We start from the raw sequence: 22555 nt of genomic DNA on the forward strand, positions 1-22555 counted from the left end.
TGTGGGCAGTCTCCTGCTGCACTTTCAACCCAGCACCTGTATTTCCTTCTTACAACACCAGCTCGAAGCCTGAAACAAAGAGGAAGGAGAAAAGAAAAGTATGCCTGGCCTAAGAGATGGTGTCCAGAGGATGGGGGTGGAAGTCCCTTTCAGACACAAAATGCATTCACTGACCTCAGGGAGCAGAGTCAGGACTGTGCTGTTCACCTTTTTGTCTGACAAATCTTAGGCCTGATCAGCTAGAAGGGCAGTGTTCCGGGGAGGGGCAGGTGAAACCCAGCGGGGCTGTAGCTGTAGTCCCAGAATCCAGCCCCCAGGACAGAGTAGGCCACACACAGGCCAACATTCCCAACAGCACCATGACCACCAGGGATATCTCCTTGCCTTTCAAAACTACATGGTGGTGGGTGGGCACGGTGGCTCACACCTGTAATCTCAGCACTTTGGGAGGCCAAGGCGGGTGGATCACCTGAGGTCAGGAGTTCAAGACCAGCCTGGCCAACATGGTGAAACCCCGTCTCTACTAAAAATACAAAAATTAGCCGGGCATGGTGGCACATGCCTGTAATCCCAGCTACTCGGGAGGCTGAGACAAGAGAATTGCTTGAACCTGGGAGGCAGAGATTGCAGTGAGCCAAGATTGCACCACTGCACTCCAGCCTGGGCAACAGAGCAAGACTCCATCTCAAAAAACCAAAAGCAAACGAACAAACAAAAACATTACACGGAGGGGCACAGCAAGGGAGGGGCAAGGGGAAGATGGAAGAAAGGAAGAAGGCTGATCTCCAGGGCAGGGAGCCATATCCATGTGATGTTCTTTGCCTCTGATAGTTCCCTAACCAGCGTACTCCATCTCACTGAGTTCCAGTGGGGTTGGGGGCCACTGAGGAGCAGCCTGATGCCTGCAAGTTCTTCAATAGGCAGTGAGACAAATGTGTGGCTACCATCCCTGCACAGGGCACAGATGATACATCGACAGCTAGAATGTGTGTCTTCTCTCCTAGGACATACACAGAAAGCATCCTGACTGTCCTACTTCTTGCCTGGAGGCCTCTTGGACCAGACCTGAAGCCGTCCACCGCCAGCTTGCTGTCAATGGCTCAGACATCCCCAAACCCAGGGCTAGGCATGGAACCTCAAGCCAGGCACCAAGTGACTCCACTGAACAAGACTCCACAGACTGCGACAGGCTAGAGAAGAGGGGGCCCAGGAGTAGTGAGACGGTGGGTCTAAACTCACGGGAGCTCTGCTGTCTCTCATTCCCACCAAGAAGCAAAGCCCACCTAGCTCAGTGAATGATGCTGACCTGTTCGGGGTTGGTTAGAGAGGGCTGCCCTACCTGTAAATCCCAGCTGAGGCCAAGACCCTCACAGGGGGCAAGGACTCCAGGGTGCCCACAAAACCTGCAGAGGGCTGGGATGTCACCCAAGTGGCCCCACCTCTGGTTTATTTATTTTTTGAGACGGAGTCTAGCTCTGTCGCCCAGGCTGGAGCGCAGTGGCGCGATCTCGGCTCACTGCAAGCTCCGCCTCCTGGGTTCACGCCATTCTCCTGCCTCAGCCTCCTGAGTAGCTGGGACTACAGGCGCCCACCACCACACCTGGCTAATTTTTTGCATTTTTAGTAGAGACAGGGTTTCACCGTGTTATGGTCTTGATCTCCTGACCTTGTGATCCACCCGCCTCGGCCTCCCAAAGTGCTAGGATTACAGGCGTGAGCCATCGCGCCCGGCCCCCACCTCTGGTTTTAATGGATGGTTTCATAATGACTCAGGCTGCTGTGTTGCCCTTGGTGCCCAGTGTCCCGTGAGAAAGATGAGTTAGCTGTCCCCCGAGGGCTGGGTGGGCAGAATAAACCACTGGGCACAGCTAGAGAGAATGGGATTTGCACGGGGGCAGAGCCAGGAGAGCGAGACTCACAAGTGGGAGCCTGCAACCAGCTCCTCTGCCCACCACACAGTTGCCCTCCAGCTGCCAGTCTGTAGGAAGCAGCTCCTCATGCCTGGGAAGCAGGGCCTCTCCTTCTGGGTGACAAGAGAGTGAGGGTCTCTCCCTTGCTTGCCCCAAGTCCCTACCAGCTTCACATCCTACCCTGGGTCGCTGGGGTCTGTCCAAGCTCCACAGCAGGGGGTGCCGTACCACCCCTTCCAATGTCCACTTTTTAGGCTACTGGGTGACCTTGGGCAATGGCCCCCGCCTGGCAGGACAGGCCACACCTGCCCACACAGCACAGACATGCAGTGAGGATGAGTGAGGCACACGCACGTGGCAGAACAGGTTTGCGTGGCTGGCAGGCGGGCACAGGCAGCATGGAGTGGGCGATGGGTGGGCAGGCAAGGCTCACCATTAGGTGCACGCTGGAACTCGACTTCCTTTTCTGGACACACCACAGCAAGAGGGAAAGAGAAGGGGAAAGAGGAGGTAAGAAGAGAAGCACAGAGACGCTGCAGGTTAGCGCACCAGTGTGGGCTCTGCATCAGGGAGAAAAGAGCGGAGGGAGACCCGGAGTCCAGCACCAGAGGGTTAAACAGCACACGGACCGACAGGCACTCACACCCTCCAGACCCTGGGAGGGAAGAACTCTTTTGTGGTCAGGTTCATAGACACAGATTTAGTATCTTCTGAGATGTCTCAGCCTTGCTCAAAAAAAGCCTCTTAAGGAGATTAAGACACAAGTCTGTGAGGTTAAGTATCATTTTGCTACAAATTTACAGGTCTGGGTTCATAGGGTTAGCTCACCCTGTAATGTTATTTATTTTCTCTCATTACTAGAACTGTCTGAAATTCAAGTGAGCAGCCACCAGGGAAAAAGCAAAAGCTACTACAGGCTCTCCTCAGCTCTAATAAAATTTGACTTCTGACTTCGCTGCATCCCTACTATGCTTTTTACATAAAGATGCTGAGCTTTTGAAAATCACCTAGCAGTTAAATGTTGGCCTTCCTTTGTCAGTATAGCCATGCTTGTTTACAATATTTGAATTTTTTATTGCATTTTGCAATTCGTGGAAAATAGAAACACAGGAGTGCCAGTGATTAAAACTACAGTGATCATAAAAATGCAGGGATGTAAGCCACAGGGAATGTTGAAAGCAGTGATTCCTCAGCCTCAACTAGATGCTCACGAACTTTACGTTCACATGTGAAACAGACGCATCAAGATGAAGACCACGTGGAACACTGAAAATATATCCCAGAAGACTGTGTCTAAAAAATGAAGGGTAATTATCAATGTCATCATTAGCTCACTGGGGGTAAGGTCCCCCTGTAATATGTCCGTCTGTCGTTCAACTTTTGCACATTCATTTAACAATGCCCAGCAAACACTGAGGGCTGTTTCAGGTAAACACAGCTGATAAACTGCTCCTGCCCTCAAGCGGCCAGCATTCTTTAGAAGGCATTTTCAGGGATTATTATTATAATCAACGAAAGAGGCTACAAATATTGACAATGGTCCATAATTTAGAATTAGATTTAAAGGAAAAGAAAAACCTAAATATAGTTAGGCCTCTTTTACATTGGCCTTTTATTTATTTATTTATTTATTTATTTATTTATTTATTTATTTATTTTTAGGGAGTCTCACTCTGTTGCCCAGGCTGGAGTGCAGTGGCACCATCTCGGCTCACTGCAACCTCCGCCTCCCTGGTTCAAGCAATTCTCCTGCCTTAGCCTCCTGAGTGGCTGGGATTACAGGCGCCCGCCACCACGCCCCACTGATTTTTTTTTGTATTTTTAGTAGAGAGACTGGTTTCGCCATGTTGGCCAGGCTGGTCTCGAATTCCTGACCTCAGGTGATCCACCTACCTCGGCCTCCCAAAGTGCTGGGATTACAAGCGTGAGCCACCGCACACAGCCTTACAGTGGCCTTTTAAATATGCTCAAATATGATATTTTACTTCGAAAATCATCCCTCAAAAAGAAGGAGTTCCCTTATATTCATATATATAAGTAGTGGGGTGTGTGTGTGTGTGTGTGTGTGTGTGTGTGTGTATATCTCCTTATCCCTTTACCCAACTAAAGTGTTACTGCTTTCAGGAAGGTTCCTATCTTATGTGTCTTTACAATTTCCACAGTACCTAGCAACATGCCTTATAGTTAGCATACAGGCGACGAAAGTTTGCTGAGTTGAGCTGGGTTTGCTGACTTTGGTTTTTCCCCAGGCTAAAGAAGAGCACAGGTTTCTAACTTGCACTGAATCACGGCAGCAAGAACTCTGCGTAGGCACTCACTCACCAGGCCCAGTCTTTGTTCTGCTGATTTTCAGGGGCTTGTTGTGAAAGGCCATTGCAGGATCTTGACTTAAAGCAGATTTTTGACTAATGGGGAATAAGTTCTCAGCCTTCTCCTGGCTTGCTCTCTTTTTCCTAAATTGTCCTGCATGAGAACCTGAGATCACCCTTTTCCAAAGACTGTTTCTCAGGTTAGTCAACATTTTTCAATTTCCTTCTCCATTCAGGGATTTGCCCTTAGCCATGCATAGCTGGGCTCCTTCTGAACCAGCACACTACCACATTGTCTAAATGTGAGGTCTTTTTATTATTTTTTTAGAGATAAGGTCTTGCTCTATTGCCCGGGCTGAAGTACTGGCATGATCATGGCTCACTGCAGCCTCAACCTCCTGGGCTCAAGGGATCTTCCTGCCTCAGCCACCTGAGTAGCTAGGACTACAGGTGCACACCACCATGCCTGGCTAAATGCCAGATGATTTCTAAAGAATCATATCTCACTTTTACTTAAAAACTGTATATTTATTTTAAATTTTAAGCTGGAAAAGCGTTCAAACCTCTTTCTCATACTTAATTTAACAAAATAATTCAAATAGTACTTAGGGAAATAACTATAACCTTTCGTTTTTCTTGCTTGCTTTCTTTTTTAAAGATAGGATGGCCATTCTGGCCTGGGACTAGCAGAAGGCACAAGTTGTCCTACACTCTCAGGATCTGAGAGTTTGTGGCCTCTTCAGTCATCCTCACAAGTGGCTCTTACTCTTCCATAGACCCTGGGTCACTGGCATCCAGCTTCAAAGAAATCTAAATAGAAGCTAAGTCCCCCAAATCAAGAACACAAGACAGACTAGCTGCTCAAACCAATGCTAGTATTTTGAACATCTTGCAGAAAGCTTCTGAACAGTGAAAAAGAAATCGCCCTATGGACACTTAAGCAGTAGGAATTGAGGAAGGGGGAGTTGGGAAGGGAAGATGGGATCTAAAAGAAGAATCCATGATGCTGAAAGCTCAAGACCATCTGAGCTACTTCACAGGCCTCCCTCATAACATTGATCAAAACCTTGACTTTGAGAGAGCCTGGAAAGGTCGAACTCTGCACATCTTGCTTTGTCCTCTCCTTTTCGTTTCTCACCCCTTTGATGCAGCCACAACATAAGTTGTTATTTACCTGTTTCATATTATAAAAGGACTGCAGCCACAATACAAGCAATTTGGAAAACAGAGAAGGGGCATGGGAAAACCACTAATACTCCTAGCAATCTTCCAGTCTTTTTAAAAAATGCAATTGGCCGGGCACGGTGGTTCATGCCTGTAATCCCAGCACTTTGGGAGGCTGAGGCGGGTGGATCACAAGGTCAGGAGATCGAGACCAGCCTGGCCAACATAGCAAAACCCCGTCTCTACTAAAAATATAAAAATTAGCTGGGTGTGGTGGCACGCGCCTGTAGTCCCAGCTACTTGGGAGGCTGAGGTTGGAGAATTGTTTGAACCCGGGAGGCGGAGGTTGCAGTGAGCCAAGACCATGCCATTGCACTCCAGCCTGGGTGAGAGTGAGACTCCGTCTAAAAAAAAAAAAAAAAAAAAAAAAAGAAAGCAATCTTTTAAGATATCATTATAGGCCAGGCGTGGTGGCTCATGCCTGTAACCCCCGCACTTCAGGAGGTTGAGGCGGGCAGATCACCTGAGCTCAGGAGTTCAAGACTAGCCTGGGCAACCCCGTCTCTACTAAAAATACAAAAATCAGCCGGGCGTGGTGGCACATGCCCGTATTCCCAGCTACTCAGGAGGCTGAGGTGGAAGAATCACTTGAGCCCGGGAGGCGGAGGTTGCAGTGAGCCAAGATCACACCACTACACTCCAGCCAGGGGGACAGAGTGAGACCCTGTCTCAAAAAACAAAAAAAAAGATATCATTATAAGATATAATAATACAAGCACATGTCTTACCTCTTTTCTTTTTTTTTTAATTGAGATGGAGTCTTGCTTATGTTGCCCAGGCTGAACCTCCTGGGCTCAAGCAATCCTCCCACCTCAGCCTCCCAAGTAGCTGGGATTACCAGGCATGAGTTGCCACACCTGGTATTATGCTTTACTTTAAAAAAAAAATAGTATTTAAAAAAAATTCTGATAACAGTAGTGCACAATCTAGATGAAAAATATAGAATACAGAAAAATGTGTAAGAAAAAAAGTTTCTCAAATTCCCATCACCTGGTGAAGTTACTGTTGACACTTCAGTGGGCTTTCTTCCAGTCCCTTTTTTATCCACATATTATATACTGAATAAATATCTACAAACACGTTTCTTCAAACCAAATTTAGAATGATAGTGTATGTACTCCTTTTTTTTTTTATTTTTTGAGACAGAATCTTGCTCTGTCACCAGGCTGGAGTGCAGTGGCGCACTTGGCTCACCGCAACCTCCGACTCCCTAGTTCAAACGATTCTCCTGCCTCAGCCTTCCAAGTGGCTGGGATTACAGGCACGCACCACCACGCCCAGCTAATTTTTGTATTTTTAGTAAAGACGGGGTTTCACCATGTTGGCCAGGCTGGTCTCGATCTCCTGACCTCGTGATCTGTCTGCCTCGGGCTCCCAAAGTGCTGGGATTACAGGCGTGAGCCACCGTGCCTGGCTTGTCTGTACTCCTTTATATACCACTTCCTTCACTTAATATAAAACATTTCTGCACTTTATTTTTCACTTAAAATATCCCTACGGTCATGAAAATTAATAACTTTTGAATAGTTTATTAAGTAGATTTCCCATAATTATTTAGTCATTTACTGGCTTTTAAAAAATCTTTTTATTTTTAAATTTAAAAACATTTTTAAGAGTTGGGGGTCTCACTATGTTGCCCAGCTGGCCTCGAATTCCTGGGCTCAAGCAATTCTGTCCTGCGACAGCCTCCTGAGTAGCTGGGACTATAGGTACGCACCACTGTGTCTGGCTCCTTACTGGCTTTTCAAATTGTCTCCAATCTTTTTTTTCTTCTCTCTCTTTTTTTTTTTTTTTTAAACAGAGCCTCACTCTGTCACCCAGGCTGGAGCGCAGTGGTGTGATCCTGGCTGTAACCTCAGCCTCCTGGGCTCAAGCAATCCTCCCACCTCAGCCTCCCAAGTAGCTGGGACTACAGGCACGTTCCACCACACTCAGCTAATTTTTTTTTTTTTTTTTAAGAGATGGGGTCTCACTACGTTTCCCAGGCTGGTCTCAAGCTCTTGGGTTCAAGCAATCCTCCCAACTTGGCCTCACAAAGTGCTGAGATTACAAGCATAAGCCACTGTGCCCAGCCTCCAATCTTTCCACAGCTATAAATAATGTCATGTTCAACATTTTTCTGCTTTTAGCTTTTTCCTATTTTGAATTATTTCTTTAGGAAAAACTCTCAGAAGTAGAATTAACAGGGTAAAAAGAGGTAGAAGCATTTTTATGGTTTTGACACACAGGCTGTTTTAGAAAGGACCATTCTGGTTTTCACTACCATCACTAACTAGAGTCCAAAAATGGCACCTTGTTTCAATTTGCATTTCTCTGATACTAGTGAGGCTAGAAATTTTTCCACATTTGTTATCCAGTTCTACTTCCTTGTTTTCAGGTTGTCAGTTTATTTTCTTTGATCATCTATCTTCCTTTTTTTTTTTTTGAGACAGAGTCTTGCTCTGTCCCCCAGGCTGGAGTGCAGTGGTGTAATCCCAGCTCACGGCAACCTCTGCCCCCCGCAAGGTTCAAGTGATTCTCCTATCTCAGCCTCCCGAGTAGCTGGGACTACAGGCGTGCACCACCACTACTGGCTACTTTTTGTATTTTTAGTAGAGAGGGGGTTTCACCATGTTGGCCAGGCTGGTCTCGAACTCCTGGCCTCAAGTGATCAGCCCACCTCAGCATCCCAAAGTGCTGGGATTACAGATGTGAGCCACCACACCTAGCCTATCTACTGGGTTTTTTTTTTTTTTTTTTTTTTTTTTTGAGACGGAGTCTTGCTCTGTCACCCAGGATGGAGTGCAGTGGCACAATCTCAGCTCACTGCAAGCTCCGCCTCCCGGGTTCACGCCATTCTCCTGCCTCAACCTCCCAAGTAGCTGGGACTACAGGCGCCTGCCACCACGCCCGGCTAATTTTTTGTATTTTCAGTAGAGATGGGGTTTCACCGTGTTAGCCAGGATGGTCTCGATCTCCTGACCTCGTGATCCACCCGCCTCGGCCTCCCAAAGTGCTGGGATTACAGGCGTGAGCCACCACGCCCAGCTTCTACTGGGTTTTAAGAGGGATTATTTGTCACAGAAACTCTTTCAATAAAAATATTAACCCCTCCCATCACAACGGCTGCGAATACGCGGTTGGCCTTTTAATTTTGGGTGATCATTGGCCTCTGGTTCCCACCATGATATTGAAGCTCTTTTCTCAAAAGAATGTGGCATAAAACTCATTTACTGAGCACATATCAGGGTCAGACACACAACACATTGCAGGGCTAGGTTCCCCACGCACGTCCTCATTTAAAGCCTTTACCTAATGATGTGTCTGCCCAGCCCTCATCCTCAGGGTTCCTGGAAGAGCTGCAGCTGCTGCACATTTCTCTTTTCCCCCTACCTCTCTGTCCTTCCTCTGTTTCCTTTGCCGACTCTTGTTCCAGCCCTTTCTTAACACATAACCCCAAAATTTTGCCTTTACCAGACTCTTAAACCTTCATGTGCTTTGGATTCATGAAAGTGTTTTTAAAATTCACAGATTCTGCCTCCCAGCCAAGGCCTCCAGAACATGAATTCCAAGCTGGGCCCTGGATGTGCATGGTTTGAGCTGGCTCCTTGGGCTAATCTTACATGGCTGCACATGACCTTCATCTTTGACACCAGTAGTATCTAGAAAGTTTGGCTAGAAACCTGTTCTGTAATGGTGCCTTTTCCATCCTCTCCCCTCCACCTCAACAGTCACTGCTTTATTTCAGGTCTCATTTTATGCAATTGCTCTTCCCTTCAGCCATAAAGAAGATACTGAAGTTCCCAGAATCATCATGCTGTTTCAACCTCGTGTATCTTCACATGCGCTCTTCCCTCTGCCTGGAATATCCCTCCCCTCCTGTCTCCTCCTTAACCCAGCAAAATCCAGCTACTCCCTCAAGCTCAATTCCTGGCCATCTCCTTCCAGAAGATTCCTGTCCTGGTTTGGATGTTTATCTGTCTGCTCCCCCAGCACCTGCCAGGTGCACACCTCCCTGAGACCTTAGCAGACTCCATAGAAACAGTAGCTGCCTTGTGTCTCTCCCACTGTAAACACCTTAAAAGGTAGATTAAGTTTTGCCTTCCCAACTTCTAGGGGCACAGCAGGTATCTTTTTTTTTTTTTTGAGGCAGGGTTTCACTGTCACCCAGGCTGGAGAGTGCAGTGGCTTGATCTTGGCTCACCTCAGGCTCAAACTCCCTGGGCTTAGGCAATTCTCTTACCTCAGCCTCCCAAGTAGCTGTGACTACAGATGCACACCACTATGCCCAGTTAATTTTTTTTTTTTTTTTTCACAGACAAGGTTTTGCCCAGGCTGGTCTCAAACTCCTGGACTCAAGCAATCTTCTTGCCTCAGCATCCCAAAATGCTGGGATTACAGGAGTGAAGCCACCGCACCCGGCTTGCCAAATCATTTCTATCAGCACTCTCACCATAGCTTCCCTGCTCAATGGCCTATGGTATTTCCCATGGTCTGACACAGAAACTTCCAATTCTGCCTGATAAGACTGATCCAACCATATTTTTGACATCAATCTACCACACACCCTGTGTTCTCACTGGGCAGAGAACATCAATATGTATAAGAGAACCCATACAAATATAATTTGTTGTTTTTAAGTTATAGAAATGTCATGTTGTTTTCTTTTCTCTTTTCTTTATTTTCAGACGGAGTCTTGCTCTGTCGCCCAGGCTGGAGTGCAATGGCGCAATCTTGGCTCACTGCAACCTCCGCCTCCCAGGTTCAAGCCATTCTCCTGCCTCAGACTCCCGAGTGGCTGGGATTACAGGCACCGGTCATTATGACTGGCTAATTTTTGTATTTTTGTAGAGACGGAGTTTCACCAGGTTGGCCAGGCTGGTCTTGAATTCCTGACCCCAGGTGATCCACCCGCCTTAGCCTCCCAAAGTGCTGGGATTACAGGAGTGAGCCACCAAGCCTGACCCATATTTTCAATTTAAAGAAAACATATAGCAGAAAGTAAAACTGCAAAGTGAGTCTCACCTATGTCCCTGCAGCTTTCTCCAGTACGCTCTCTCCTATGAGCTTCCTGGACTAAACCATCTCGCGTGGGTCCACTAGCAGCGCTCAGCTGACTCCAGGTGCGGCCCCCTTCCTATGGCGACTGAAAGCCACACCCCCTCTTACACCTCTGTTGTGTACCCCTCAGAACAGAATGCTGCGTGGACATCTGACTGACAGGTACTTATTAAACACTCTCTCCAACTAAACCTGCCCCTTTTCCTCACCTGGCTCCATCCATGTAGCTCAGGGGCAGAGCTTGGGGACCGCACGATGCCCCCAGCTCCATGTCAGAGGGTGTGCGCGGAGCCCAGGCTCCCCTGCGAGGGGCGGAAGAACACAGAAGCAGGCATGCAGAGAATGAGGGAAAGAGGAGGGAGTGGGGAGGGAACGGGGAGGGAACGGGGCTTGTGTGTGTATCTCAGCTGTTGACACAAGATCTTGGGAAAAGGCCCAGTGAAAATCTAGTCTAGAGTGTAAGCTGGGAGGCTTCAAGATAGCATGAGCTCCTACCCAATGCCCTAGCCCCAGGATCCTTTCTGCCCCCAAAGCATCTACAGAATGTCTTGGGCCCTGTGGGTAGCCCCAGTCACCTCTCCTCTACCTTGGCCAAGCAGCCATTCCCAGCAGGGCTCCTGGTGGGTCCCAGGTCCCTCCTCTTGCCCCAGTCCCATGGGAAAAGCTCCCTCACCCAGTGGGAACAAGCCGTGATCCACCATGGCCTTTGCCTTTTTCTGAGGAGCCTATGCGTCAAGAAAGCTCGAGGCTGTTGCACTCAGTGGGATCTGAAAGTGTTGTAGAGAGAAGGAAAAAGACCAAAAGGAGAGTGGTTTCAGGTTCCAAGCCCTATACCCTGCCTGAATCACTCAGGCAAATTTGGCTTTCATTTGATTAAAAGGATTTGTGCTCTAAAAAGGAAAAAAAGAAAGATAACCAAATGACCTAAAAAACCCAGAGTCAAGCCCTGGAGATGAAGCATCCGTGTAGAAGTCAGGTTCCGGATTCAGCTCTGGTATAAACTATGATTTGGATCACTTCCCCTGAGTCATTCCCATCCAGCTAGGGCCAGGAAAAATACCTCCCTACTTCCCTCTCAGGCCAGCAGAACCTTCTGTTCTGAGCACAAAGGCATCTGGTTTAAAGCAGACTAGCAAGGATAGGAAGATTCCCTGGGAAAGGGGGAACCAGGTGCCAAGAATTCCCATAGTGACTGCGGGGAGAAAGAGGCCAGTCTGTTCAGAGGCTGGAGACACTTACCTTGACACCGCCATCCGACTTCTTGTTCAATAGGCTTTTGGCAGCTGTGAAAACAAAGAGGAATATCAAGTCTCCTGCATTGTACCCTCTCCCCAACCTGAAGTCCGGCAGCCAGATCCACAAGAGAGTGCTGTGTCTGACAAGGGGGCCAAGGGTCTCCCGAAACCCCCAAAAGAGGCACTTCCTATAGCCTCTCAGCAAGAAGGGGATCTTGAGTGGCGTCAGAGCCCTCAGGGTGGCACCTCAGGATCTCCTCTGCGTGGAGGAGGGCATGGATGCACGACACTTAGAGGAGAAACCATGCTCAGTACTGGAGCCGCCTGGGGCACTGGGGACTCTGCCTTTGACAGCTTCCACCCAGGCCTGGAAGCAGAGTGCCAGGGTGAAAGAGTGAGGGCTCCATCCCTAGGTGCCATGGAAGTTCTCTGGATGGCCAAACTGCAAGGATGCAAGACATCTCCTGAGTGTTCTCAAGAAGCAGAGTGTCACAGTTCACACAGGAGACCAGAGGACAGACAGACACAGACACAGAAACCAGGACCACCTACAGGAGGGTTTTGCCAGGGGGTTGAAGCCTTCACTGAGCAGGTCCTCACCAGGTTCACTGGGTCCTAGCTGCCACCCTTTCCCCAGTGTCCACTCTCTGGACCTGTGAGCAGGAAGGACTCGGCAGAATAATGAGCTGTCAAACAGATTCTAGCCAGGCATAGGGTGACGCTCCAGGCTGATGAGCTCTGTGCCAGAAGGCTGGTGACACCAGCTGGCCACAAAAGGCCACAGGAAGGTAGCAGACAGTGGGGAGGAGAGTCTGGGAGGCACAGGGAGATGGAATCAGCCCAACTGTCTGATACACCTGGACTGCCTGCCCTGGGTCTGTATCTTGGTTCCACCACTTGCCAGCTGTGTGACCTTTGGTGAGTTACTTAACCTCTCTGAGCCTCAATTTCTTTATCTATAAAATGGGATAAAGTAGGGCTGACATCACAAAACAGTGGTGGGAATCCAGTGGGATTATGCATGAAAAGCACTTAGAGTGCCTGGCATATAGCAAGTACTGAGTAAGTGTCCACCATCGTTGTCACTATTGCTGCCACCCTCCTGCCCTTTGGGTAGCCATTCCTCCCCAAGCTGTGTTCCATCTCTCTCCAGTGAGAACAGGGGTCCTTCCATTACGAGAATTCTGACTCCAGAAAAAGACCTTTGATCTTATCTTGTCGTGCTGGGTTTGAATGTTGTTTTTTAAATGTGCTGACTCCTGTGCCTGACCGCCTACTGTCTAAGTGCTTTCCATTCACCAGCCAGCTCTCAACGCTGGTTGCCCACTAGGATCACCTGGGAGCTTAAAAAAAGCGTACTACCTATCTTATCCCTAAGGGTCTGATTTTATTGTCTGGGGTGGGGTCCTGGCATTAGGACTTCTTACGAGCTCCCAGGTAACAGCTGTACTGCACAGGCAGGGCTGAGAGCCTTCGACAGGGTGATCTTAAGCACCACCATGTTATTTATCATCCCCATTGGAGAGGTGAGGAATTAAGGCTGGGAGAGCTGGTGTGACTCGCTCAGGGTGTGGCAGGGCTAGGATGTGAACCCAGAAACAGCTGGCTCTGAGGCTTCTGCACTCTGGAGCCTTTCAGACCTGGAGGCCAGCAAGCGCCAGACTTCACAATTTTGAGGAGCGCGGCTCCTCTGTGGGGTCTTAAACAGTGCTGCGGAAATCTAGTCCTAGCACCGGGCAGCTCAGGGCAATGCCCAGCACTGTCTCTGAGGGCCCACTGTTGGCTGCAGCCCTCCCAGGGCATCGGGCTCTTGGCAAGGCTCCCGCTGCCCAGCTCCATGCCCCCAGGCTACTGCCCCCTGAAAGTTGGCAAGCGCCCAGCATGCATGGCTGGTTAGGGGGCTCCATAACAACGATGCGCTTGCAGATGCCAAGTTAGGTAGTCTGTCTGGCATGCCCATCTCAGCCCGCAAGCATGGGACTCGCCTCCCTGGTGAGTGGGCCCGGCATGCTGGCCCTCCTGGTGGGGTGGCAGGGGGCCGAGGCAGGCGGTCGGGGAGGACTCATGCCACGTACCTTGCCCGGCCAGGCCGGCGGCGCTCGCGGCAGGCGAGGCGGGGGCGGAGCTCTGCCTGCCAACTGAGGGGATACAGTCTCTCAGTGCACAGAGCCCCGCAAAGCCACGGGGCCGTCAGCAGCGAGCATGCCCCAGCGCGAGGCGCAGCCCAGGCGGCGTGGCCAAGCCAGCCGAGCTGGGGGAGCGGAGCGCCAGGGGCAGGCTGAGGAGGTAGGCGCAGCCAGCCCTGCAGCAGTCTGGGGGCCTGGGAAGACCGGGCTGGGCCAGGGCATAGGGAACACTGCGTCCCCACCAGATGGAGAGGGCTGCAGTGCCTGTCTCATGACCCCCTCCGGAGGAGGGTCCACAGCGAAATGCCTGAGCCGGTGAGAGGCAGGTGCCCCTTCTGAGGTAGCCCGGCCCTAGCTTAAGGCTGTGATGAAACGCCCTCCCTTCTAGTCCTTCCCTCCCTAGAAGCTAAATGAGCCCACGATGAGAGTGCCGGGGGCGCAGAGCAGCCCTCTCCCCTCTCTACATCCCACACACTAGAGGGACTGGCGTGGGGGTCCCAGGGAGGGTCTGTGGCCCTTGTGCAGCTAAGTTTACTGGTGGGCCCCAGCTCCATGCCCCCCAACCCCTCAGAGACACAGGTCCCTGTCTTAAGGGAGGTAGCCGAGAGAGGCAGCATTCTCAGTCTGTGTGTCACAGTGTGCTGAGGTGAAAGGTGCCCAAGAAATAAACCCTGAGAAAGAAAACAAAGGCTGCTGAAGCAATACACTCTGGAGGCCCCGATTCGCTGTTAGCCAAACTGCTAGAGTCCAGGATAAGCCACATCTCCTATTGGAGGTCAACTCAAAAAACAGCCCTAGAGAAACACACAGGTGCCCTTCCTTCTTGATTGCATCCATAGACACCTCTTTCTGCAGAAGCTTCCGGACAGACTCTGTCCTCACCTGTCCCAGAGTCAGGGCAGAAGAGGCCATCCTGGAATGCTTGCAACATTGTTTGTCTCCTCTGACCCAAGGCAAAGTGAGCTCAAAGGCCAGTCTAGGTCTGGCCAATAAGAACAGGAGGCTCTACAGGGATGAATAAAATGCTTTGTCCTAACACCCGATTTCCTGAAACCAGGATGCCAGTTTCCTGAAATGGAGGGGGAGGCTGATGTGGAGGCCCGGGGCTGCAAGACAGGGCCCTTGCTATTGACTGGCTGGGCTAAAAGAGAAGCAGCAGACTGTCTTCACATTTCTTCAACTCAGAGGGGAGAGAGGACAGAGCTTCGCTCTAGGGGCAACACCGAAACGCCCTTCAATGTCCTCTGGAAAGGCTCGTAGACCCAAAAAGTAGAAGCTGCGTCATTAAAGCACAAGAAGCAAGTGTGGGACTACAGTTGCAACTCCACCGGAGGCAGCCAGCCACGCTTCCCTGTTCCCATCTGCGAGAGGTGGAGCCACACCACAGTATGCCCGTCGTGGGTACCCATGACACAAGATCAAGCCCCAAACCAGGGTCAAAGGAGAAGGCCTAGGGCAGGGCACCACCAGCCCCGGGCTCACTATCCAGCCCTGGCCTTCCGGAGCTCCATGGCTCTCAGGCTACACCACGAAGCCCTAGGCTCCCTGCCTGCAGCATCCTCACAGCCAAGGCCCTGGCGTTACCTGGAGCCAGCGCAGGCGAGCCCAGCAGGACGGGTATTCAGAAGTGGCTCCCACTGAGTGGTGGCTTAGGCTCCCACACAACCCCCTTTCCATGGTGGTGCAGAGGGGAAGCAAGGGAGGGAGTCTTATTATGGGAAGGAGAAGGGGGGGTCTTGAACCAAAACAGTGAGGCAAGGGGTTAGAGGGAGGGAGGACCGGGGGAGATGGCAAGCTGGGCAGAGCCCTCTCTGTCTTCAGTCTCGACATTAATCTTTTCCTCACAAAAAAGCCACTGTGCTTCCCAATTGAAGGCAAACAATAATAGGGGTTGGGGTGAGGGTGGGGGCAAGAGGGGAGTGGAGTGTCTTGCATCTTAAAAATAAATGTCAAGTATGATTTACAAATTATTGGTCCCACCTCTCCCAATTCTTTATGCAAATTTAAGCAAGTTCCTTTCCCTCTCTCCTGCTGGTCTTTATTTCTTCACTGTTATAGCTAGTATCTCAGGGACTATTTTAAGCACAAGTCGCCACAAAAGGTTTAAACATCTGGAATAATTTCTATTAGTCATCTCCACTTGGACAAAATGAAGTAAGAGATCGTCCCAGCAGGCAAATGAATGGTGGCAATTTGGCAATTGAGAAGACTCACTGTACCTCATCTCTCTTTTCTTCCCCCAGCACATCCTCCAAGATCCTAGAATGGCTAAAATCTGTAAAGTGCTGAGAGTCTTCAGAGAGTTAAATAAGAATCCAGAGAAACAAGGTACATAGCAAGTTGGGCAGGCTACTCCTTGGGAAGTTCTAGGAAACAATTCACAAATGTGAGTCCAGCCCCCTGAATCTCAGGAGCAGGACTCAGCAGCAGCAGCAGCCCCTCAAAACAGGATCCTCACTCGCCCTGGTCAAGGTGTGGCCCAGGACGCCGAGGAAACCCAGCGGTGCCCGGGATGGCAACAGCCCATTCCTGATCCACTCACCTCGGCATAATCAAAGTACACAGCTGGGAAAACATACCTGAGAAGTTCCTGGAGACAAGCATGGTCGTGAGGATGGCACCCTGGGGAAAGAGGAAGGTCCTGTGAATTCACTGAGACCCTAGAAAAGGGCAGGCTGGTCTCAGGCAAAGGCAGGTCCTGGCTAGAGCCTGAAGACATCAGGCCTCTGGGCCCCCTCCCCTGTGACATGTACAACCTTCAGAGCCCAGCTCCAGCCAGGAGGGGAGCTTCCTTCTGAAATGGGGCAGGAGCCACACTGGTGCAAGGCATGATGTCAAGGAGGCTGGCAGCCTAGAAACGACACTCACCTTCAGTTTTCTCCGGGCATTGAACTTGCGCAAACACTCCACAGTCTCCTGACGATGCATCATGGATGCCACCGTGGATCGTTGCTAGAAACCAAACAGACAGGCTATGAGCCCCAGCCCAGATCCTCTGCGCCTCCCACAGTCCTGGCACCGATACCATGCCCAGGACAGGGTCATGCACTCAGCCACCCCAGAGTTGCTCTGAAGATGAAATGAGGTCACAGATGTGAAAACGCTTTTAGAATAAAAGCACTACCCGAAACTCAAGGTTACATAAGGACAACATGAACGTGAGAACACCATAACGGATGCTAGACGGGCTGCTGAGAGACCGTCCTATTCTTCCTTGGGAAACAGAGGCTACCGAACAGGAGAGTACCCTGGGGGCTGTGATCCTCATTCAGTCACTCCTTAGGCAGCTGTTTACTGAGCACCTACTGCGTTCCAGATGCTCAGCAGCGAGAGAACGGCAGGGTTCCTGCTCTCTACAGAGGACATTCCTTCCTTCCAAGAGCCCCTCTCCACACACCCCCAGCAAGGTCCTGAATGAAGCCATGATCCCAGAAGCTAAGGATCGTCACCTTGAAGCATCAATTCTTTTCATCATTCTGGATGTAATTTTTTTTTTTTTTTGCAATGGAGTCTCGCTTTGTCAGTCAGGCTGGAGTGCAGTGGTGCAATCTCGGCTCACCGTAGCCTCCGCCTCTCAGGTTCTCCTGTCTTGGCCTCCCGAGTAGCTGGGACTACAGGCACATCCCACCACACCCAGCTAATTTTTGTATTTTTAGTAGAGACAGGGTTGGCCATGTTGGCCAGGCTGGTGGTCTCGAACTCCTGACCTCAAGTGATCTGCTCACTTCGGCCTCCCAGAGTCCTGGGATAACAGGTGTGAGCCACTGTGCCCCGCCTTTTTTGGATGGAAATTTGTCTTCAATGTATTTACTGCTAACTTCCTGGCCTCCTTAAACAGAGTCCATGGGACACAGTCTACACTTCCTCAATGACTCAGCTGTCAATACCAGCATCATTATGTAATTTCAGAATATAGTGATGTCCTCAGGGGCTCGAGACACACGGGACTGCAGAGGGTAGGGCCTGCAAAAATGACCCCAGAACAGAATATTTCCCCCATTCTTGGGTGCCTGTTTCAGGTTGCTTGCCCTCTCCCCTTGCTGTTGCTGTCTTCACCAGCCTGTCAGAAAAACAAATCCTGGCACCTGCAGCCAGGTGCCCACCAACACTACGGGGCCTCCTCGCATCCTTTCCCTCACCCTTGGCCCACTCTTTCCAGGTCCGGAGGCAACTCTCCCCACCTTCTCTACCTTCCCCAAGTCTCTCATTTTACCTCCTCCTCGGTGTAAATTTCTCCAAAAGCAAAATGAGAGGTCATCAGCAAGAACCCCTTTCAGCTCAGACTTCCACTCACAAGCCGATCTTCACCTGCCTCCACACTAATAGAAGTCTCAGGGGGATCATGGTCATCCCCGGGATGGACCCCCTGCCCTTGGCTCAGGAGCCCCCTCTCTTTTTCTGCTGTCCAAACCTTTGCTTCCTCAATTAGCAAGGATCTTCAACTCTTTCCTCTGGACTAGATTCTTCTCTATAGATTATAGTTAAGCCTCTCCTTAAACAAAAAAATTTTTTTTTTTTTTTGAAACAGCATCTCACTCTGTTGCCCAGGCTGGAGTGCAGTAGCACAATAATGGCTTACTGCAACCTCCACCTCTCTAGGCTCAGGTGATCCTCTCATCTCAGCCTCCCAAGTAGCTAAGGCACGTTACCACAACCAGCTAATTTTTAAAGTTTTTTTTTTTGTAGAGATGGGGTTTTGCCATGTTGCCCAGGCTGGTCTCAAACTTCCGGGCTCAAGTGATCTACCTACCCTGGTCTCCCAAAGTGCTGGGACTACAGGTGTGAGCCACCGCTCCTGACCAATATAATCTTTAAAAAGAAATTTTTTCTTCTTTAGAGGCAGAGTCTCCCTCTGTCACCCAGGCTGGAATGCAGTGTCATTATCTTGGCTCACTGCAACCTCCACCTCCTGGGTTCTAGTGATTCTCATGCCTCAGCCTCCCAAGTAGCTGGGATTATAGGTGTGTACCAACATACCCAGCTAATTTTTTGTATTTTTAGTAGAGATGGAGTTTCACTATGTTGGCCAGGCTGGTCTTGAACTCGTGGCCTCAAGTGATCGCCTGCCTTGGTCTCCCAAAGTGCTGGGATTACAGGTGTGAGCCTTACATTAAAAGCTCCCCTGGCCCATCTTAATCTAAGTATCACCATTTATTTCCCACCTCAATGCCTAGCTCCCCATGCCCCTCCTCACCCTCACTCCCTCTTCGTCTCACTGAAAACAGGGTTTCATCTTTCTCTCCACTGTCTCAGTGAAATGATGAAACAATGGCATCTAATGGTCAGAGCCAGGGGATTCTTCCCCAACTTAATCAGGGACTCTTCTGCATCTGATTCCTGACGCTCCCTTACTGAGACCCCCTGTTTCTTAGCTTCTGGGTCTTCTGGAAGGTCTCACTCTCAGTGCTCTTTGCTGGGCCCCCTAACTCTCCCTATCATTAAATGCTGGTGTGTAGTGGCCGTCTCTTCTCTACTACAGCCAATAGAAGCTCACCGTAAGAACTCAACCAGCATAGGAACAGGCCCATCTACAGCATAGGAAGAGGCTATTTCTACAGCCTCACTACCAACTACACAGAAATGACTACAATGTGGATTTCCAATTTTTAGCTTCTTTTCTAATCTCTAGGACCATATTTCTAACCACCCACTGAATGTGTCTGGCTGGAGGTTGCCAGACTCAGCAGGCACAAAATGAAAACCATCATCTTGGCCGGGCGCAGTGGCTCATGCCTGTAATCTCAGCACTTTGGGAAGCCGAGGCGGGTGGATCATGAGATCAGGAGATCGAAACCATCCTGACTAACACGGTGAAACCCCATCTCTACTAAAAATACAAAAAATTAGCCGGGCGTGGTGGCGGGCACCTGTAGTCCCAGCTACTCGGGAGGCTGAGGCAGGAGAATGGCATGAACCCGGGAGGCAGAGCTTGCAGTGAGACCGCGCCACTGCACTCCAGCCTGGGCGACAGAGCGAGACTCCATCTCAAAAAAAAAAAAAAAAAGAGAAAACCATCGTCTTGTCTCACAAACAAGCTCCTCCTCTGGTTTTCTTCTGGGTCAGTGAGGGTACAACTCTCCGCTCAACTTGAAACCTGGCCTCTCTCTTCTTTGCTCCCCCCAAATCCAACTGGAGAGAATTAAATCCTTTAGGTTCTCTCAAATATCTCTTGAATTTCAACACACTGCACATTCCCCCATCCTTACCCTCTGCTGAGACCTCACCTGGTCTTGCTTAGACTATTCCAACTATTAAAAAAGCTTCCTGAGCTCTCTGTCTCCAGCCCTTTTCTTTTAAAAATTTTCAATTCCCTTCTTTTTTTTTTTTTTTTTTTAAAGAGGTGGGGTCTGACCATCTTTCCCAGGCTGGAGTACAATGACTATTCACAGGTGCAATCATAGCTCGCTGCAGCCTCAAACTCCTGGGCTTATGATCCTCCTGCCTCAGCATCCCCAGCAGCTGAGACTACAGGCACATGCCACCATGCCTGGCAATTCATTTCCTCACAACTTCCAAAGTGTTCTTAAATGCAAATTTCATTCTTCTTTAAAACCCTTAAATGATTCCCTATGTTTTCAGAATAAAATCCAAACTCCTGAGGCAGAAACTTGTATGTCAGGGAATCTTTTGCCCCATTCTCTTGCATTCTGATATTTGCAGCCTCATCGACAACCAAACAACTCAACATTCCTTCAACTCACCATAGTTTCCCATAACCTCTCACTGTGCTAAACTCTGTCTGCAGGTTAACGTTCTGAGGACCTCGTTATTTGCCAAGAACAAGCACAGGGGTGTCACCTCCTCCGTGCAGCCTTCAGTAACCCCACCACCCACCAGGAACAGTAGGAGCTCCTGTACTCTCATTAGATTCTTGTACCTACTTGTCACATTGTAACATGACTGCCTGTTTGAGTGCCTGTCTCCCTAGATGATCTTTTGGGGCAGGGACCATGCCTCATTCATCTTTGTATCTCCAGCACCCAGACGGTAACCAGCACCAAAGAGGTATTTAATAAACACAGAATGGACAGATAAATAATGCCTCGTGGTTGTCAAGATGCCTAACTCTACCAAATCCTCTTCTTTGTCTGAAAGTTGATATTTCAGCTTGAAAGAATTGTGTATAAAAACAGAGTACGTCAACCCACACTGATAGCCTAGAGGACTCTCCTAGGACTTTAGCGCAGAAGCTTTATGCCTCAGCTTTTATGCTTTTAATGACTCAGAAACCCCTTCTGTTGATTTGTTGGATCTTGGTCACCACTCCAGTGGAGTTGAGATCTGAGTATGAACCCCAGCTTGGGAATTCACTTTGGGTTTTGCCAGCTGCTTTCTATCACCGGCTACCTGGAGTCCACAAGGGTCAACCTGAGCCCTCATCCAAGAACAGAACCAATCCCAGCCTGACAGCCATGAGTGGGGGAGAGAGGAGCAGTGGCCCACCAGCCCCATCAGCCTCCCGAGTCTCCCTGGTGACATTTATTGACCCTGGCCCTCAACAGTCCTCTGCCCGCCTGCTCAGTTATTGCTTGGGGCCCAGAATGAATCTCTGCTGGTAAGAAGGAGGGGGTGGTGCCGAGGGCACACAGAAGGCTGACACCCCTGAGCTCCTTGGCCACTAGCAAAGACACTTACACAGACCCACGGGTGCTTGAGAGCCTGGTCAGCCGTGATGCGCTTTGCTGGGTTTATGGTCAGCATCTGGTTGATCAAGTTCTTGGCTTCAGGAGTTACCGTGTCCCATTCTGGTGATGGGAACTAAGGAGCAGGAATAGGGAGAAGAATGTGGTATTGGTGAGCTTCATACCCTGCAACACTGGTTCTGTCTTCAACTCAACTCCTGTAATTGGGATACTCTGTGGTACCTAAAGCTGTGACTGGCAGAGTTGGAGAAGCCCTGCGGCTATTCCAGAACCTGTGTCAACTTAAAGACTTGGAAAGACAGACAGAACAGTCATGTTTAGAATGCCAGAACATCAGATTAGAGCGGGAAGGGGACTCCAACATTCTCTGGTTTAAGCCCAGCTCTATACTTAGGAGGGAACAGAGGCTCAGCAATGTGTCCAAGGTGCCACTGCAGTGGAGGGAGTCTCCAGGCCTTTTGTCCCTGTGTTACACAGCACACCAATGAGGCCGCTCCATTCTTTGCAAGTAAAGATCAAAGGACTTCAGTGGACTCCTCAATTTTAGTTATGAAGAAGGCTGTGCAAAAGAAAGTTGCTCCCTGGGACATAGAGTGGCAAGAATTGGGCCCTGGATGCCCATTCCTGGGTCCTCAAAGTCCCCTGACACCCCCGTATCACGTGACACACTAAACAAGCCTGCTCCCTTGGACAGAGCCCGAGGAGCAAGGACATCTGCCCTTCCTGGCCTGGCTGCCCGGCTCTCTGGTCCTTACATCATAGGCTCCAGCCTTGATCTGCTGATACAGCTTGTGCTGATCCTCATCCCAGAAGGGAGGATAGCCCACCAGGAGGATATACAGGATGACCCCTACGAGACAGAACACACAGGTCATGGGGGTCAGTCGCCTACTTCCCTGAGGAACCAAGAAAAACCATGCAGGGCTCAGAGCCACCTAGAAAGGCAGGGGCCATACCAGAGTCAGAAGTGGATGCCAGCCGATAATGCTATGCTACCAGCCCCTCCTGCTATGCCTCACACTTCACGTCACCAAGTCACACCAGGGATTTCTTTAGGCACAACCCATC

General features: G+C 49.9%; 1 protein-coding gene across 78 annotated transcripts in view, besides 1 other annotated feature; it reads right to left on the reverse strand.

Moving 5' to 3' along the window:
- Positions 1-22555, reverse strand: part of CAMK2G (calcium/calmodulin dependent protein kinase II gamma) — a 62055-nt gene that overhangs the window by 13245 nt on the left and 26255 nt on the right. For 35 of the 78 annotated variants that reach the window (NR_160047.1, NR_160045.1, XR_007061995.1 and 32 more), the window contains 5 exons: positions 22243-22337; positions 21480-21602; positions 16713-16796; positions 16424-16466; positions 11723-11766 (listed from right to left, as the gene is read on the reverse strand). Coding sequence is in view for 56 of the 78 variants with exons in the window: in XM_047425803.1 (XP_047281759.1) it covers positions 11723-11766; positions 16424-16466; positions 16713-16796; positions 21480-21602; positions 22243-22337 (389 nt within the window). In the remaining 22 variants the exon portion in view is untranslated. Of the gene's footprint in view, positions 1-2343; positions 2377-11722; positions 11767-13793; positions 13857-16423; positions 16467-16712; positions 16797-21479; positions 22047-22242; positions 22338-22555 lie in introns of all 78 variants that reach the window. The other 43 variants (XR_007061994.1, XR_001747218.2, XR_945822.2 and 40 more) reach the window with 5 other exon arrangements.
- Positions 4132-4332: a silencer, noted in NCBI's record as "peak1013 fragment used in MPRA reporter construct". NCBI's record gives its function as "represses an SCP1 promoter by STARR-seq MPRAs in K562 erythroleukemia cells {active_cell/tissue: K562}" and the evidence as "EXISTENCE:reporter gene assay evidence [ECO:0000049][PMID:32103011]".

Source organism: Homo sapiens, chromosome 10 (genome assembly GCF_000001405.40).
Source record: "Homo sapiens chromosome 10, GRCh38.p14 Primary Assembly".
Taxonomy (NCBI): Eukaryota; Metazoa; Chordata; class Mammalia; order Primates; family Hominidae; genus Homo; species Homo sapiens.